At 41.4% G+C, this 18,859-nt stretch overlaps 1 pseudogene; it reads left to right on the top strand.

Moving 5' to 3' along the window:
* Positions 14,456-15,881, top strand: RPL4P5 (ribosomal protein L4 pseudogene 5; annotated as a pseudogene).

The raw sequence follows: 18,859 nt of genomic DNA, 5'->3' as shown, positions 1-18,859 counted from the left end.
AGCCTCCTGAGTAGCTGGGACTACAGGCTCCTGCCACCACGCCTGGCTAATTTTTTTGTTGTTTTTTTTTTTTTGGTAGAGACATCGTTTCACCGTGTTAGCCAGGATGATCTCAACCTCCTGACCTCGTGATCCGCCCACCTTGGCCTCCCAAAGTGCTGGGATTACAGGCATGAGCTGCCACACCCGGCCCACACTTTATAATTTTTATACAAAACATTCCATAATTAAAACGGTATTTATATAATACTTCTAAATTGATAGAGCCATTACAAAGATTTATGGTAGAAAACAAGAGATGGACTCCAACAATTCAGAATTGTCCCCAAACTCTATTGCCTGCCACAGAACATAATCCATGTTTAAAACAAAAAAAAACACCAAAAAATGGCTGACTTACATGAGAACCTATGGATAAAAGCAAGATTATGTGAGATAAAGAGTAGGACGGATAAAGAGTCTGAGTTGCAGTCGCAATGCTCTACAAGCATCTGTATGAATTTAGGAAATAAATCAATCTCTCTGGCGCCAGTATTTCAACTGCAAATGGTAGATTGCAGTGAATGTATCCTAAAGTTCCTTTGTAACCCTGATATTTTATAACTGCATTTATTTCTTAACAAGTTAGCATGTCTTAAATTGGGAGGCTTTCCAACAAATGCACCTTAAAATTGCTGTTGACCAGGTGGCCATCATATAGTTGTCATTGACTAAAAACTTGGTTAAACAACAACTTGGTGTGTAGTAGCTTGGTTGTTATGCTTGAGAATAAGAAAAGACAGCTGTAAGCTTTCAACATTTTAGTTACAAATTATTTGAAGACCATTAGAAGAAGGAATAGGAGAGTTGGTTGTAACTTCTATTGGCAATTTCTGGTAAGATCAAGAGAGCACCAGAAACAAATCTCATAAAATGGGTTTAGAAAAAAATCCTGGAGACAATAGTGGTACACTCATAAGAAACATTGTGACACAAAATACTTGATGACAGCCAGCCACATTCTGGAGGATAACGCAATCATTGACAGCCTGTTGCAAAGTAATTCAAAAGAGCCTACCTCTAAACGTGAAGAAATCTTAGAAATTCACAAACCAATTTATATTTTTCTTTTTTTCAGATAATATGAGTGATAAATGATAAAACATATGTGTTAATCTAAAAGACCTCTTGCATTAAACATAATATTATGTATTATGTTTAATACATATTACTGTACATAATATGTAAAGTATAACATACCTGTTGGTCTTGATAGGTATCATGTAATATTTATAAGTAATGAGAAAGCATTGTCATAGTTGCATCAACAACTTTTTTTCATCTGCATATGTAAATTAAAAGTGCATCTTAAATCTCTGACATCTCAGAAGAGGTAAAATATAGCATGCATAAGCTAGATATTGGAGGATCCTTATAGCAACTTCTGTTTTTTGCCCAGCATCAACCATGAAGAAGTCATCAACTTTTCTTGGAATTCCTAAAATCTTTTTGTACCAAAGTGTTATGGGGCAATACTGATTGCACTAAAGACTTCCAAAGATATATGGAGAAGGAATATTACATCATTAGTTGTATACTCTGTTCCCAGGCAAAAATAAAATCCCCATTGGACCAATTCTCCTCGCCTTTCTCAGGTCTCCTCTTCTTGCACTGAATTTGACTCATCTTCTTTCTTCTACCCATGTTTTAAAACTCGTTTCCTTCTTCTGGTTGTTGGGGACCTGTGTATCATTAGGGTTTGCGTGTACTCCTAGAGTACGCTTACCAATGCTTCCTTTTGACATCTTCAATCTTTCCCTAGGAAGGAATTTTTATACTACCGCTAAAAAGATAAAAATTTCTTCATGTTACCTGTGATTTATTTTCCCTCCCAATTGGCAATATTTGCTGCAGAAAAAGAAAAAGATGAAAACCTCAGTCAGCAATTTAAGGCACAGATCTGTGTTTGGAAACTTGTAATTCTCTACTCATGGACCTTACCACAATTTCCCAAATCATAAAATTGTGAACTACTGCAAGAGAAAATACACCTAGACCAAAGGAAAGAATGACACATCTGATGTCTACTGTAATAAAAAGTAATATTTAACAATAAAACACACAACTGTGTGATTTATTAAATGGAGGCCCTTCTGGAAATTTTTAACTCTAGAGCAAAGGACTTGACTGTACATTTTGCTTTAGGGTTTGGACTTAGTTCACAAAAATTGAATATGGCTGCTAAACCCTTTGAAAGGTTTTTGTTTGTCTATTTATTTTTTCTCTTGCATTAAGCCTGTGGGACTGGACACAGAGAGTGAAAGTAGGTTGTTTGCTTGGCCAGCATCCATATTCCCTTCCTGCAGCAATAGTACCTTGATTTCCTTTTGTGGATTTCACCTTTTCCCTCACATTCTGCCAATGTTGTTTTGAAAGAAATTGACAAAGGTAAATCCTGATTGACCTGAGTCAATTTGCATAGCTAGCCCCTTGGCCACAGGGATTATTAGATTAGCACGTATCCCAGTCAGACTCAATGAGACCTTTGCTGCACCTTCTGGAAGAAAAGAAACCCTCTCTTTTCCTCTGGCCTTAGCAGATTGAGGGAGTAAAAATCTCACTTCTCACATTGCTTTAGCCACCTCAATGCTATGAGCGGGAGCCAGACTGCGGATAAAGGCCACCCCCAGACGATGGTGAGCTGATAGATGTCTGTTGTCTACATTGTTTGCACCCTGAATCAAGCCACTCCTAAAGCTAGCCTTCCCCAGAGTTTTCAGTTACATAATCCAAGAAGTTTATTTTTTGCTTAAATCACTTTGTGTTTCTTTCGCTTGTAATATAAAGAGTCCCAGACAACATAGTGTACGTTTATAGCATCTAAAATAAGAATTCATTCCATATTTATTTTCTCACTCATTTTTAAAGCATTTACAGAGTACCTATTATGTGCCAGGCATTAGAAATAGAATAATGAATACTCTCCAGACCCTGACCCTCCAATAGGACAAGCTAGAGGTATAAGCATATGATACAATGTAATATGGATGAGGTGGAAGGCACTATCAGAAGACACAGGATGAAGCGACTAATTCAGCCTATGAGCGCCAACAAAAAACGTTAGCAGGTGAGGAAGGGACATTCTAAGAGAAGTAAATAGCTTGTGCAAAGGTCCAGGAACTGGCATGGCTCTTCTGGGAAACCACTGAGAGTCTGTTGTGTTTTGCACATGGGTTCCTGAGCTAAGGGCAGAGGGATGTGACTGGAAAGGTAAAATCCTTTATCAATTTTAAAGGACTTTGTACATCTGGTCATCAGTGACTTATGCACAAAGGGATGTCACTGTCAAGACCTGAACCAATAAAAAGATGCAGACATCTTCAAGTGGCAACATGAGTGCGTTTTCCTTGTCTAATCACCTGAAGCTGCCTGACTCAAGCCAGAGTTGCTCTCCTAACTAGGCCTCACTCTCCTCCCCCACCTCTGCTACAAAGAAGAATTGTAAGGCTGATGCTGACAGCCTCCTGTGCTATTGTGCATTTCAGATATTCATCTGTGCTCTGGAAAATGGCTTGAAATTCTCCATGGAGAGTGCAGACAGAAAGGTCAACAATTATGCAAAATGAGTAATAGGCTTGGAGCAATCAGGCCACACAGCTGTTGCAATGAATTCTCGGAAACCCGCCTGCCAGGTGTCTGTGTCTCTGCCCAATGGCCCTGGCCAGGCATCCAAAGCCAAGCCCTTAGTTAACTAGTATTCCTAGACAGCTAGGGGAGATTCTGAATGAAAGCAGAGAAAATCAGAAAAGCCACAGCTCTGTGTACAGGAAAAAAAAAAAAAAAAGTCTTCTTGAGGCTCCACTAAAGGCATCAGTGAATAATCTGTTCTCAGAGGTAAGAGGTTAAACAAGGAGCCAAGAGTTAAAAACTCCAACCTGGGGCCAGCCACACTTCAATGCATAGCCATGAAAATGCCTGAAGTGACCTTCTGTTCTGGGAGAACATCATATAGCCTCCACTTTTTCTGGAGAGGGAATATCAATCCAGCAGGAAAACATTGCTGAGAATCTCCTATGTAAAAGGTGCTAGGGAATGCAGAGACAAATCACACCTTAGGGTCCAGGAAAGAACAGGCAATCAGCCAATGTGTGCCAAATGTAGGTTAGCGAAGCCAACTGCTTTGATAAAAGAGGAAGGGAGTTTCCACATACGGAAAGCATGGCATCTGTTCAAATAAATGGCTGTTCCACAGGTAGGTGGCATCCTCACTGATAAGGAAACTGAGGACCAGAAAAGTGATCCAAGGTAGGGAGAAGAGAGATTGGAAGTAAGTCCAGCCCAATTCCAACATGACACCATTTCCCACTTTTCCAAGGATGGCAGAAAGCAAGAAAACTCTTTCGTAGGTAAACCTCAGCTTTTGAACTAGGATTTATAGAGTTTTACCAAAGCCAGGGTACAAGAAAAGGCACATCTTTCTATAATGTCACTGTCTTAGTCAGCTCATGCTGCCATAATGAAAGGCCATGAACAAAGTGGCTTATTTTTCACAGTTCTGGAGACTGGGAAGACTAAGATCAAGGCACTGGCCAACTGGGTTATTGGTGAGGGCTGTCTTCCTGGTTTGCAGACAGCCACCTTCTCATTCTGCTTCACATGTCTTTCTTTAGTGCATGCACTCAGGGAGAGGGAGAGAGAGAAAGCTCTCTTCCTTCCTCTTCTTATAAGGCCACCAATCTTATTGGATTAGGACTCTACTTTTATGACCTCCTTTAACCTTAATTATCTCCAAAAAGTCTTACCTCCAAATACACTTACTTTGGGGATTAAGACTTTAACGTATGAATTTGGTGGGGGAGAGGGACACAATTCAATCCATAGAAGTCACTTTTACTTGAAAAATTGGGAGGTGGAGAAATTGTTTTTTAAACCAAAAGAAACTCAATTCTCTATGGCTTATAATATAAATTGCTAAAATGTTTTAAGAGGAAAAAGTGGGTCTTCTGGTTATACCATGAGAGTTTTGAGGGCTTACCTTTAAGAATGCTGTGACAATTTTTGAGAGGTCTCAATAGAGGGGAATAGAGGGAGAAACACCTGGAAAGATAGGATGGAGCGAGTAGGTGGAGGGTCTTGAATCCCAGATGGCATGAATCCCTGAATGCTGATGAGGCTGACCATTTTCTGTTAGTCACTCCAGTCTCATTCTCCACCTTCTCCCCTGTTCTGAGCTCAGGACTCTTGCAGGCTTCCTGCTCTCTAACTTCCCCTTGGGTTCCCAGCAGGGGAAAAGTGGGCAGGGGAGAATGAGGTCAGAGAATTTACCCCATCCCTCATTGCTGGGCCCCTGCAGATCATCTCCTTTACTGAAGGCTGTTTCTATACAGCTACTCTCTCTGGGTTATAGTCTTCCGGTCATTATTTCTTCCTTTTGTCCCTTCAATCCCAGAAGTAGTAATGGCTTCACAGTGCTCCTATACCTAGGGTACGGCATCACTTCCTAGCAGTCTTCAAAAATCCTATCCATACTCTTGCAAACAGTCCATTCAGGGATAGCTTCATAGGAGTATGACTCACACAGTCTCACAGAGTTCCAAGCTTAGAAGTGCCTACACTTGCTTTAATACTTGAGATTATTAATAATTTTTGAACAAAGGCCCCCATTTTATTTTTATTACTTTTATTTTTTGAGATGGGGCTTCACTCTGTTGCCTAGGCTGGAGTGCAGTGGCACGACTGCAGCTCACTGCAGCCTCAACCTTCCCAGGCTCAGGCGATCCTCCCACCTCAGCCTCCCAAGCAGCTGGGACTACAGATGTGCACCACCACACCTAGGTAATTTTTGTAGAAATGGAGGCTTGCCAGTCTTGCCTAGGCTGGTCTCAAACTTCTAGGCTCAAGCGATCTGCCTGCGTTGGCCTCCCAAAGTGCTAGGATTATAGGTGAGAGCCACTGTTCCCGGCCTGGCCCCCCGTTTTTATTTTGCACTGGGCCCCACAAACTAAATAGCTGCTCCTGAACCCTTTATTAAACCCTCTGCAAGCACTGCATTCAAGTATGCCGTCTGTTTTTTTGCCAGAACCCTGGCCCCTAAGCCTCCTACACAGAGAGGAGGACACCCCTGGGCTAGCTGATTTGCTCAGTAGGAGGCAAGACTTTTCCCCCAAAACAAAGGAGGCCTTGGGAAAAGACACAGGTGTTCTAACTGGGCTAGTTTACTCCTGAAGCTGAAACTGAAATCAAGACCATGGGGCTGGGCACAGTGGCTCATGCCTATAATCCCAGCACTTTGAGGGGGCTGAGGAAGGTGGATCACTTGAGCCCAAGAGTTCAGGACCAGCCTGGGCAACATGGCGAAATCCCATCTCTTAAAAAAAACTACGAAAATTCGCTGGGCATGGTGGCGCTTACTTACAGTCCCAGCTACTCTAGAGGCTGAGGTGGGAGGGTCATTTGAACCTGGGAGATAGAGGCTGCAGTGAGTTTTGATCACGTCACTGTACTCCAGCCTGGGCAACAAAGCAAGACCCTGTCTCAGAAAATAAAAATAAAAATATCATGGAAGGCAGCAAGCTGAGGCTGAGGCCTGCTGGGTTCAGGACTATGGAGATGATAAAGGTTCAAGTCCTGGCAACACAGCATTTTAGCTCATAACACTTGGACCTCAATCACCGTTTCTGAAACCTCGGCTTTGCCATCTGGATAATACCGGACCTAACTCGATGAACAGTTGTCCACCAAAAAAACTGTAGGTGTATTAATCTCTGGTACATGACAGAATGTGCAATAAATATTTGTTAAATACATAGTTTGAGTTTATATTTAAACTCAAAACAGACTGTGAACTAGGAAGAAGGAATATGGAAGAAAAACAATAATCCAACCATCAACTCTTTTTTTCCCAGTGATACGTGGAAATCAAGGATTCTCTCTGCTGGAGAGTCAGATGGAAGCCGAAGGTCCAGAGCGCTATGGTAGGCACTCCAGATTCCAAAACCCGTGCCTCTGAGCAAGCTATCCCAGGGACAGTAGGGTCATTTGTAAAAAAAAACACAGCAGGGTAATGACTCCAAAAAGTAAGATACTCCTTTCCTATTCCCCACTTGGTGAGAACTGAGTGGCACCATGACCAAATTGCTCAGCTGCATCTGGATCATAAGTAAGGACATATTAATTAATTGTGGACCAGTTCTGCACTGATCCTGCCCACCCTTCCCCAATGGCATAAGAGCACTTTGGCCTCTGTAAGTCACTGGGTCATGCTTTCTCAGCACTTAATAATACACTTATTGGGTACCTACTGTGTACTGGCACTGTGTTAGGGACTTTCATTGTATTGCCTAGACTGATGGTCTGCAAAACTTTTCTTAAAGAGCTGATAGTAAATATTTTACGCTTTGCAAGCCGGATGGTCTCTACAATCAAACTCATATTTATTAACAAATATTTATTGCACATCCTGACAACTCTGGCACTGTAGTCTAAAAGCACCCACAGTCAACATCTAAATGAATAGGCATCTCTATGTTCCTAAAAAACCTTATATACAAAAACAGGTGGCTACTGTAATTTACCAACCCCTAGTCTAGAGCAGTAGGCTCTCCAACTTGCGACTATGTCGGAATCCACTGGGTGGCTTGTTGAAGCACAGACTGCTGGGTCGGACCCTCAGAGTTTCTGATTCAGGAGGTCTGGTGTCAGGCAGAAAATTTGCATTTCTAATAACTTCTCAGGTGATGCTGCTGCTGCTGCTGCAGCTACTGCTCCCACACTTTGAGAACCACTGGCCTAGAAAGTGTAGCCCTTTTTTTTTTTTTTTTTTTTTTAGGTTTTTGGGATGCATGTGCCGGACATGCAGGTTTGTTACATAGGTATATGCGTGCCATGGTGGTTTGCTGCACCTAATGACTTATCACCTAGGTATTAAGCCCAGCATGAACTATTTTTCCTAATGCTCTCCTTCCTCCCACCCTACCCTCCAACAGGCTTCAGTGTGTGTTGTTCCCCTGTGTCCATGCATTCTCACTGTTCAGCTATCACTTATGAGTGAGAACATGAGGTGTTTGGTTTTCTCTTTCTGCATTAGTTTGCTAAAGATAATGGCTTCCAGCTCCATCCATGTCCCTGCAAAGACATCACTTCTTTCCTCTTTATGGCTACATAGTATCCATAGTGTAAATGTACCATATTTTCTATATCCAGTCTATCATTAATAGGCATTTTGGTTGATTCCATGTCTTTGCTATTGTGAATAGTGCTGCAATGAACATGCATGTGCATGTATCTTTATAATAGAATGATTTAAATTCCTTTGGGTATATACCCAGTAATGGGATTGCTGGGTCAAAGGGTATTTCTGGTTCTAGATCATTGAGGAATCGCCACGCTGTCTTCCACAATGGTTGAACTAATTTACATTCCCACCGAAAGTGTGAAAGCATTCCTATTTCTCCACAGCCTTACCAGCATCTATTGTTTCTTGACTTTTTAAAAATTGCCATTCTGACCAGCATAACACGATATCTCATTGTGGTCTTGATTTGCATTTATCTAATGATCAGTGATGTTGAGTTTTTCATATGTTTGTTGGCTGCATAAATGTCTTCTTTTGAGAAGTGTCTGTACATGTCCTTTGCCCAATTTGTGATGGAGTTGTTTGCTTTTCTCTTGTAAATTTGTTTAAGTTCCTTGTAGATTTTGGATATAAGCCTTTTGTCAGATGGATAGATTGCAAAAATTTTATCCCATTCTGTAGTCTGTCTGTTTACTCTGGTAATAAGTTTCTTTTGCTGTGGAGAAGCTCTTTAGTTTAATTAGCTCCCATTTGCCAATTTTTGCTTTTGTTGCAATTGCTTTTGGTGTTTCTGGCTTGAAATCTTTGCCCATGCCTAAGTCCTGAATGGTATTGCCTAGATTTTTTTCCAGGGTTTTTATAGTTTTGGGTTTTACATTAAGTCTTTAATCCATCTTGAGTTAAACTTTGTATAAGGTATAAGGAAGGGGTCCAGTTTCAATTTTCTGCATATGGCTAGCCAGTTTTCCAGCACTATTTATTAATAGGGAATCCTTGACAGGCACAGTGGCTCATGCCTGGAATCTCAGCACTTTGGGAGGCCAAGGCAGGCAGATTGAGGTCAGGAGTTCAAGAACAGCCTAGACAACATGATGAAGTCCCGTCTCTATTAAAGATATGAAAATTAGCCAGGCATGGTGGTGCACACCTGTAATCCCAGCTACTCAGGAGGCTAAGGCATGAGAATTGCTTGAATCCAGGAGGCAGAGGTTGCAGCTGAGATCACATCACTGCATTCCAGCCTGGGCAACAGAGCAAGATCTCAACTCAAAAAAAAAATAGGGAATCCTTTCCCCATTGCTTGTTTTTCTCAAGTTTGTCAAAGATCAGATAGTTGTAGATGTATGCTCTTATTTCTGAGATCTCTATTTTGTTTCATTGGTCTATGTGTCTGTTTTTGTATGAGTACCATGCTGTTTTGGTTACTGTAGCCTTGTGGTATACTTTGCAGTCAGGTATCAAAATGCCTTCAGCTTTGTTCTTTTTGCTTAGGATTGTCTTGGTTACACAGGCTCTTTTTTGGTTCTGTATGAACTTCATAGTAGTTTTTTCTAATTGTGTGAAGAATGTCACAATTTTAATGGGAATAGCAGTGAATCTATAAATTACTTTGGGCAGTATGGCCATTTTCACAATATTGATTCTTCCTATCCACAGCATGAAATGTTTTTCCATTTGTTTGTGTTGTTTCTTATATTCTTGAGGAGTGGTTTGTAGTTCTCCTTGAAGAAGTCCTTCGCTTCCCTTGTTAGCTGTATTCCTAGGTATTTTATTCTCTTTGCAGCAATTGTGAATGAGAATTCACTCATGATTTGGCTCTCTGCTTGTCTGTTGTTGGTGTAAAGGAAAACTTGTGATTTTTGCACACTGATTTTGTATCCTGAGACTTTGCTGAAGTTGCTTATCAGCTTAAGGAGCTTTGGGGCTGAGATGATGGGGTTTTCTAGAAATAGGATCATGTCATCTGCAGAGACAGTTTGACCTCCTCTCTTCTTATTTGAATACCCCTTATTTCTTTCTCTTTCCTGATTGCCCTGGCCAGAACTTCCAATACTATGTTGAATAGAAGTAGGGAGAGAGGGCAACCTTGTCTTGTGCTGGTTTTCATGGGGAATGCTTCCAGTTTTTGCCCATTCAGTATGATATTGGCTGCGGCTTTGATATAAATGGCTCTTATTGAGATATGTTCCACCAATACCTAGTTTATTGACAGATTTTAACATGAAGGGATGTTGAATTTTATCGAAGGCCTTTTCTGCACTATTGAGATACTCATGTGGTTTTTGTCTTTAGTTCTGTTTCTGCGATTAATTATGTTTATCGATTTGCATATGTTGAACCAGCCTTGCATCTCCGGGATGAAGCCAACTTGATCATGGTGCGTAAGCTTTTTGATGTGCTTCTGGATTCAGTTTGCAGTATTTTATTGAGGATTTTCACATGGATGTTCATCAGAGATATTGGCCTGGAGTTTTCTTTTTTTGTTGTATCTCTGCCAAGTTTTGGTATCAGGATGATGCTGGCCTCATGAAATTAGTTAGGGAGAAGTCCCTCCTTTTCAATTTTTGTTTGGAATAGTTTCAGAAGAAATGGTACCAGCTCCTCTTTGTACCTCTGGTAGAATTCAGCTGTAAATCCATCTCACCTTAGGCTTTTAAGACCACAGCTCTGAAGCTGAGTAGCCTATTTGAATCCTGCCTCTTTCACCTGTTAGCTAAGTCACCTTGGGTAGTTTATGTTTCTTTATATTTCTGAGCCTCATCTGTAGAATTAGATGAATAACACCAATTTCACAGGATGTTCGGAGTTAAATGAGTGAATGCATGTGAAGTCCTTAGACCAGGGCCTGGCACATGATCAGTCCTCAAAAACTATTAGCTCCTGCTAAATGTTAGCTGATATCACCTCATTTTATTCTCCCAACAACCCTGGCCAGTTTATAGATGAGGTAGCCAGGGCACAGGGGGTTAAATGCATTGTCAACAGCACAGAGCTGGTAAAGGGCACACCCAGGGCCCTCTGTACTGTCCTCCCTCCCTAGCACCTGAGTCAAACAGACCTTCCTCATTGCCTCCATGAGACCCAGAAGAATAAAAGCCCACATGGAAGATGGGCCTTGTGAGCTAGGAAGCATTCTGATCTGTGTCCCCAGGGTCTGCTCCTGGAACTCAAGTGCAGTTATGCTCTTCAGACTCTGACACCCTCTCCTGTGCTTCCTCAGGCCACACTGGGACCAAAAAACAAAGGAGCCCTCCATCCATCCTTTGCACCCCATTTTCTGTCAGAAGCCACTGACCTAAATGGAACCACCCTGGGCTAGTTTAGGTCTTCTAACATTTACTGGCAAATGAGTTAGATGTTTTACATATATTATCTCATTTAATCCTCAATATGATTTTATATGGCACATACTCTCATTATGATCATTTAACAAATGAGGAAACTGAGGCATAATGGAAGTTGGCCTAAGCCACGCAGCTAGTGAGCCAGCATGCCAATGCAGAAACACAGATCAGAATGCTTCCAACATTTTTGTTCTTTTTACTTATGTAATCTTGTCTCCTTATATAGTTGAGTAGTAAGAAGACTAAGGAAAGAGAGCATTAGTTATTGTTTAGAGCAAAGAACTTGAAATGTCCAAAATGAAGCTTTCTCTCATAGGCAATTTTGGCTAATTTATCTGAAAAAATATGAATAAGTTTAAGTGAATCCATACCTTTCAGGTAAAGACGTGTTTGTAAATGTACTCTTACCAATATGAAACAGGAAAAAAACTGTGTGAGTTTTGCTCATGCATAGGTGGCTTTTATGAGAAGTGGGGAGAGACTTTTATGAGAAGAAAAGTAGAGCTGGAGTGGCTTTAACCCCTTATCGTTAAGAATGAAAAGGAAGAATAATCAAATGTACGCTGAAAATATAACAGCAAATAAGCTCCGAGGTGACATTTGGGCTATGTAGTTTTCTTCTAGCTGTGTGACAATAAGTGCCTGTTCAGCTGGCTTTTCCCAAAGCCAGAGAAAGGTCTCTTAGCTAAAATGTCACAATGCATCTTATTTTCTATTTTCAGTGTGTGTTCTGAGGGGAGACTGACACTCTGTCTTGCCCTCACTCACCGCTTAGAAAATAACAACAGTACAGCACAAAGAAAGTTAGGAAGGAAGGCGCCACTGTGGAGCTGGCTCGAGCTCTCTGACTTTCATTCCACAGAGGGTGCAAGCTTTGGGTGGAGAAGAGGTGGAAGAGATGAGAGGAGGTTCTGACATAACCTCCAAATGTACACTCCTAAGAAGTCACAACAAAAACATTTAACCTATTTTGCACAATTATGTGATGCTCTGGCAAGTGGTTGTTGGACTTACATTTAGAGATCAGAAAATTTTTATTGGCCAATTTAGTGGTTATTACTAAAGGTCTTCGGTCCAAAGAACAGCTGTCATTTGGTGATCTGGAGGTCTGAGCTCTGCCTCAAAGGAAGTCATGACCCTCCTTCTTTCTAAAACTCCCTGCCCCATTTTGGCTTTCAAGGCCACACATAATCTGTCCCCTGCCTACAATGTCAGCCTCATTCTCACCGCTCATTCTCTATTCTCTTGGTATTCTGCTGCTAGTTTTGTTGTTTCATTATTACCAACAGAGGTCTACACCCATGTGGTCCTTTCTTCCTGGGAGATCCTCTAAACATCCTACACCTTCTTTCCTATAACTTCATCTCCGTAACTCCTACTTTTCCATGACCCTTGTGAATCTGGGCCATGTTGTCCAATCTCAGAAGTATATTTGTGTTCAGAGGAGCATAGTCCAGAACCAAAATGTATTTTCAAAATTACTCAATCTTTTCACCGACACATGAAACCCTGATTCTACTGTCTTCTTCCAATAGAATTATTACAAGGGCCAATCAACTGATCAATCCATGTGCCAGCTGCCATTTTTTATTCCATACTTCCTGCTGTCACAGGAACAATGTTTCTAAACCGTCAGTTTCCTCTGTCCATCTCCATTTCGAATCTTTTCACTCAACTACTCTAGACAAATTACGACCCCAAAACATGCCGTCTCATTTTGCGTTGGTCATTTTCTTGATCTGGATTGCCCATCTACCCTTTTAGCCTGTCCAAACCCTAATAATCTTTCATAACTTAGTTCAAATGCCCACTCTTTGATAAGCATTTCAACAGCCGACCCTGTCACTTTTTCCTCTGTTGTTTCTGCTGTCCTCTCTTATAGGGCTTGCAGTATAATTTACATTACTGTTACTTGTTTATAGATCTGTTTCTTCCACTAGAGGGAGAATTCCTTGAAGTCGAGGGTTTCTTCTTACTTCCTTTTGGGTCCATAGCAAAATGATTTGTACAGTAGGTACTAATTATCTACTTACTGAATTTAAGTTCATATGTCATTTTAATATTTACATCGCATTTTCACATACATTTACTTATTAGTCATCCCAATGGATCTATGAGACATATAATATTATCGCAATTTTAAGAGGAAAAAGTGAAGCTCACAAAGTTAAATGATGAGTCTAAAGTGGTACAGCGTGGAGGTGGCCGATCTAGACTTCAAGCCAGGTCTCCAACTCCCCTTGTAGTTGTGAACGTCTATGATTCCGTAATTCTGTTTCAAATTTTATGCCAGAAAGGAGAGGAAAATGATTATTTCATTATAATATTGCAGAGAAAAAAGACTGGCAAATGCTCTTCCGTTATATGCAAGCTTGTATTATGCCCCATTGGAAATGAACATTATAAACATTAGCTTCAACAATGTAACATAACAGCAGCTTCTTTTATTAGCATTGTTTAAATATTTGGGTAATAAGCAGGAACACCTCATCAAACATATGTTCTCAGTCAAATATATATCCTCTATGCAAATTGTATGGAGTTATCTTTATTAGGTGTTATTTATTCAAAAGGCGGAAGGTGCCAACGTGCAGAAAATAATGAACAGACTGGACTGTGGAAAAATGGCTTAATTATGTAGGTCAAGAGTCCTTAACCAGACAACCAGAAAAAAATCACTTTACAGAAAGCATTGGGGGAGGGGGAACTGGCACAGAGATATGCATATATTATCTCCTGGCATATTAAAATAAGACTTGACTAATGTAAAACCACCTTATACAAAGTCCCCAAAAGAACAGAAATCTTTTCCTGTGGGTTGAGAGTGCCAAAACTGGCACAATGAAGGACATGTTCAAGGAGGAAGAACACGGTTTTGCTAATCTGAAGGTCTTTATTTGAATCTCTCTCATGTCCGTCACTTCCTATCTGGGTGATCCGGGACAAGTTACTTCCTTCTGAGCCTCCTCGTTCTCTTTGTGAAATGGGGATGATAATAATATTGAACTTACCAAATTGTTTATTATTAAGAGTAACTGATAAAAATCTACGTGACGCTTTTTCCTGGGGGCAGCAGCCGGGCTGAGAGGAGAGTGGCTGTCTACTCTCTCCGCCATGGCGTGTGTCCGCCCACTGATGTCGCTGTACTCCGAAAAGGGGGAGTCATCTGGCAAAAATGTCACTTAGCCCGCTGTATTCAAGGCTCCTATTCGACCAGACATCGTGAACTTTGTTCACACCAACTTGCGCAAAAACAACAGACAGCCCTACGCTGCCAGTGAATTAGCAGGTCATCGGACCAGCACTGAGTCTTGGGGTACTGGCAGAGCTGTGGCTCGAATTCCCAGAGTTCGAGGTGGTGGGACTCACCGCTCCGGCCAGGGTGCTTTTGGAAACATGTGTCGTGGAGGCCGAAGGTTTGCACCAACCAAAACCTGGCGCCGTTGGCATCGTAGAGTGAACACAACCCAAAAACGGTATGCCATCTGTTCTGCCCTGGCTGCCTCAGCCCTACCAGCACTGGTCATGTCTAAAGGTCATCGTATTGAGGAAGTTCCTGAACTTCCTTTGGTAGTCGAAGATAAAGTTGAAGGCTACAGGAAGACCAAGGAAGCTGTTTTGCTCCTTAAGAAACTTAAAGCCAGGAACGATATCAAAAAGGTCTATGCCTCTCAGCGAATGAGAGCTGGCAAAGGCAAAATGAGAAACCGTCGCCGTATCCAGCGCAGGGGCCCGTGCATCATCTATAATGAGGATAATGGTATCAAGGCCTTCAGAAACATCCCTGCAATTACTCTGCTTAATGTAAGCAAGCTGACCATTTCGAAGCTTGCTCCTGGTGGGCACGTGGGACGTTTCTGCATTTGGACTGGAAGTGCTTTCCGGAAGTTGGATGAATTGTATGGCACTTGGCGTAAAGCCGCTTCCCTCAAGAGTAACTACAATCTTCCCATGCACAAGATGATTAATACAGATCTTAGCAGAATCTTGAAAAGCCCAGAGATCCAAAGAGCCTTTCGGGCACCAAGCAAGAAGATTCATCGCAGAGTCCTAAAGAAGAACCCACTGAAAAACTTGAGAATCATGTTGAAGCTAAACCCATATGCAAAGACCATGCGCCGGAACACCATTCTTCGCCAGGCCAGGAATCACAAGCTCCGGATGGATAAGGCAGCTGCTGCTGCAGCAGCACTAGAAGCCAAACCAGATGAGAAGGCGGCGGTTGCAGGCAAGAAGCCTGTGGTAGGTAAGAAAGGAAAGAAGGCTGCTGTTGGTGTGAAGAAGCAGAAGAAGCCTCTGGTGGGAAAAAAGGCAGCAGCTACCAAGAAATCAGCCCCTGAAAAGAAGCCTGCAGAAAAGAAACCTACTGTAGAGGAAAAGAAGCCTGCTGCATTAACTCTTAAATTTGATTATTCCATAAAGGTCAAATCATTGTGGACAGCTTCTTTTGAATAAAGACCTGATTATACAGGCAGTGAGAAACAAACAAACAAACAAAAATCTATGTGACAAGAAAACTTGGAACATAGTACGTACTCAATTACTGAATATTATCATTACACTTCCTCCACTGACACATACGTCTCTTCTAAACATGAATTTTTTTGAGAAGCTGTGACTTATAGAAAATTTGGGAGGACGTATTCACCCTCTATTTCTATTCCAGATTTTACAATTCCCTTTCTCAAACACCTGTTTAATTTCATTTTCCTGGTGCCTTAAGAACAAACATCCTAATATCTCTAGCCACTTCTTTTAGATTAGGAACAATGACATTCAAGGTAATCAGAAAGGAGGAGACGGGAGAGGTAAATTCCAAAGGACATAAAGGAAATCTATGTATCAACAGACGGCCTTTCGTTCTTTCCCTCTTCGCAATTCTTTCTGCTCAGCCTAATTTGGATCTAACTGGAGCAGTGTTTCTCAAATGGAGGTGGTGATGTTCCCCCAGCGGGTATTTGGCAATGACTGGAGATATTTTTGGTTGTCCCACTGGTAGGTATAACTCGCATCTAGTAGATGGAGGTCAGGAATGCTGCTAAACATCCTACAGTGGACAGGAAAGTGCCCCCATCAAAAAAAAGTTTTCTGATCCAAAATGTCAATAGTGTCAAGGTTAAGAGTCCTAAACTGAACAAATTATGATCAAACTAGATATGCATAAAAGTAAAAGGCCCTAATCCAATTCAAGGATTATTTAGTGAGTTTTGCTCTTGGTGTTAAGCCCCTTACTAGCTCCTAGAGACAATGATCCAAGAGATTTAGAAGTAGGAGAGAAATTTGGCCATTAGGTCTCAATACTATGTGGAAACCTCTTTCTCCATTCAAGACTGATCTCTCTGGAGTTAGGTTCACAAGAATTCTTTTGCAACAAGATACAGTAGCAGTTTATGTCAGACATAGCTTGTAAAAACTGCAGGTTTTAGAGAGTAATTAAAAGAAGTCTTTATATGCAAATTACCAGCTTCTCTTAGCTAGAAGCTATCTCTGGATAGAGCTGCCTAGAGGAGGAATTTTTAACTTTGTTTTAAACATTAATTGGGAAGTTAGCTACTTCTGACTAAGAAATAAGTCCAAGAAGTTTAGTTTGAGATTGTTGTGTTGTTTTTGTGGAGGAAATTGAGAAATGCATATTGCCATATTCTAATCCTCAATGCTATAATGTGATACTTTTTCTTTTCTTTAGCTTCAGTTACTTTTTTTTGGAGACCGAGTCTCACTGTCTCACCCAGGCTGGAGTGCAGTGGCTTGATCCCGGTTCACTGCAACCTCTGCCTCCCAGGTTCAAGTGATTCTCCTGCCTCAGCCTCCTGAGTAGCTGAGATTACAGGCGTGTGCCACCACGCCCAGTTACATTTTTTTAAAAAAGTTAGTGAGGGGTGGGAAGTAGAGGAGAGCTAGAGAGCTGGTGGGAAGTCTCTATTCCCACAGGCAGCTCTTTGGGAAGAGAAAGAGGCTAGGAAAGACTTAATAGTGAGATGAACAGCCCAAGCTGTCTGTCTTAGGTTCCTCGGTCTCTCCTGGCTTTAGAACACAGCACCCATGTGACAGGCTTGGCCAGCACCACTAAAAACTAGATCTTGGGTGGTGGAAAATCTTGGCGTTAAAGAGTAGGGCCTCACAGCCAACACTAAAAGTTCAAGTTTTTTGAATGCCCATGTTTGTTCATATAGAATGGACATCAAACAGATTGGGCATAGCTGGTCATAAAGTACATTCCAGATTTGTGTTAGGAGAGTATTGGGTATGGAGCCTTCAAAGACCTACAGCATCTACAAAAGACACAAAGAGGCAAACAACAGGTCCTTCTCAACCAAGCATGGCACTTTAATGAGGAGCTCAGGGGACCCAATTACAGGGGCCTCAAAGCTGTGGCAAATGGACTAGACACTATGTGCTCATGTAGATAGCTGAAAAGCCTTGAAATCAAAATGGTACATAGGTAAGAGGTGAACTAAATCCAGGATTAGGATAGATATGCATCTACCTAGTATTAGGATAGAAGAGAGACTTGCAGAGGGCCATACGGATGATTGAAACCACCTCTTTACAGATTATGACAGCGAAAGAAATGTAGCATTGCTGACTCTGTCTTTTTTCTAGCCTCACAGGCTGGCTCTCCTTGCTCATTCCTAGATGTAGGCCAAGCGAACCATGGGAGGAATTTAGTTTATGGTTTAACTTTGAAGCAAGGATGATAGTAGTCCCTGCCTTAAACTGACCTCCTCCTTGTTTAGGGGACTGAAACAGCCTTTGTAAGACTGATCAAAGGCCACAAGATTAGGATTATGGGACAGACCTGAATTCTGCTAAAATGTAGATGTAATTTCTATAATCCCTTACTACTCGGGAGTCACGTGGCTAGAGGTCACATGATTTGTGACTTCCTCAATTGCTCCTATAGATAATGTCATTACTAAAGAACCTAAGATTGTTTTTTTCTAATGTTTTCTAGACTTTTTGCATTCTGATTTGCATTTTGATTTAAGAATTAACCCCCATCCTTCTGTTTTGCTGGCCCTGTGATTATTAAACTCTTTCCTGCAAAAACCTGCTGTTTTTTATGCATTAGTTTTTCTGGGCAGGAGGCAAGATGAACCCATCAGGCAATCACACTATTCTTATTGCAGGCTGACCAACTGCCCCACTAACCACTAAGGACTGGGGATGGGAAAGGGAATAAGACTCTCATAGGAGCCTACAATATTAGAGGGCTGAGTGATACCATGTCTGAAGACAGAAATTAGATGGCTGGGACCTAGAAACCAGTCAGGCAAACAATATCAGTGGGCCAGGTATCTTATTCATTCACTTAACATATACTTATTCTCAGTACTCAGGAATATAGTCACACCCATAGAGGACTTTATAGAGCCTGAAATCTATTAGGTGTTAGAGACTCCCTAGCATCCGTGAACAGGAAGAGGTTCAATAGGCAAACAGTATAAAGTGGCCAACCAGT

This window comes from Homo sapiens, chromosome 9 (genome assembly GCF_000001405.40).
Source record: "Homo sapiens chromosome 9, GRCh38.p14 Primary Assembly".
In the NCBI taxonomy this organism is placed as follows: domain Eukaryota; kingdom Metazoa; phylum Chordata; class Mammalia; order Primates; family Hominidae; genus Homo; species Homo sapiens.
Note: the sequence above shows the minus strand (reverse complement) of the source record. Positions and strands in the feature narration are given on the sequence as shown.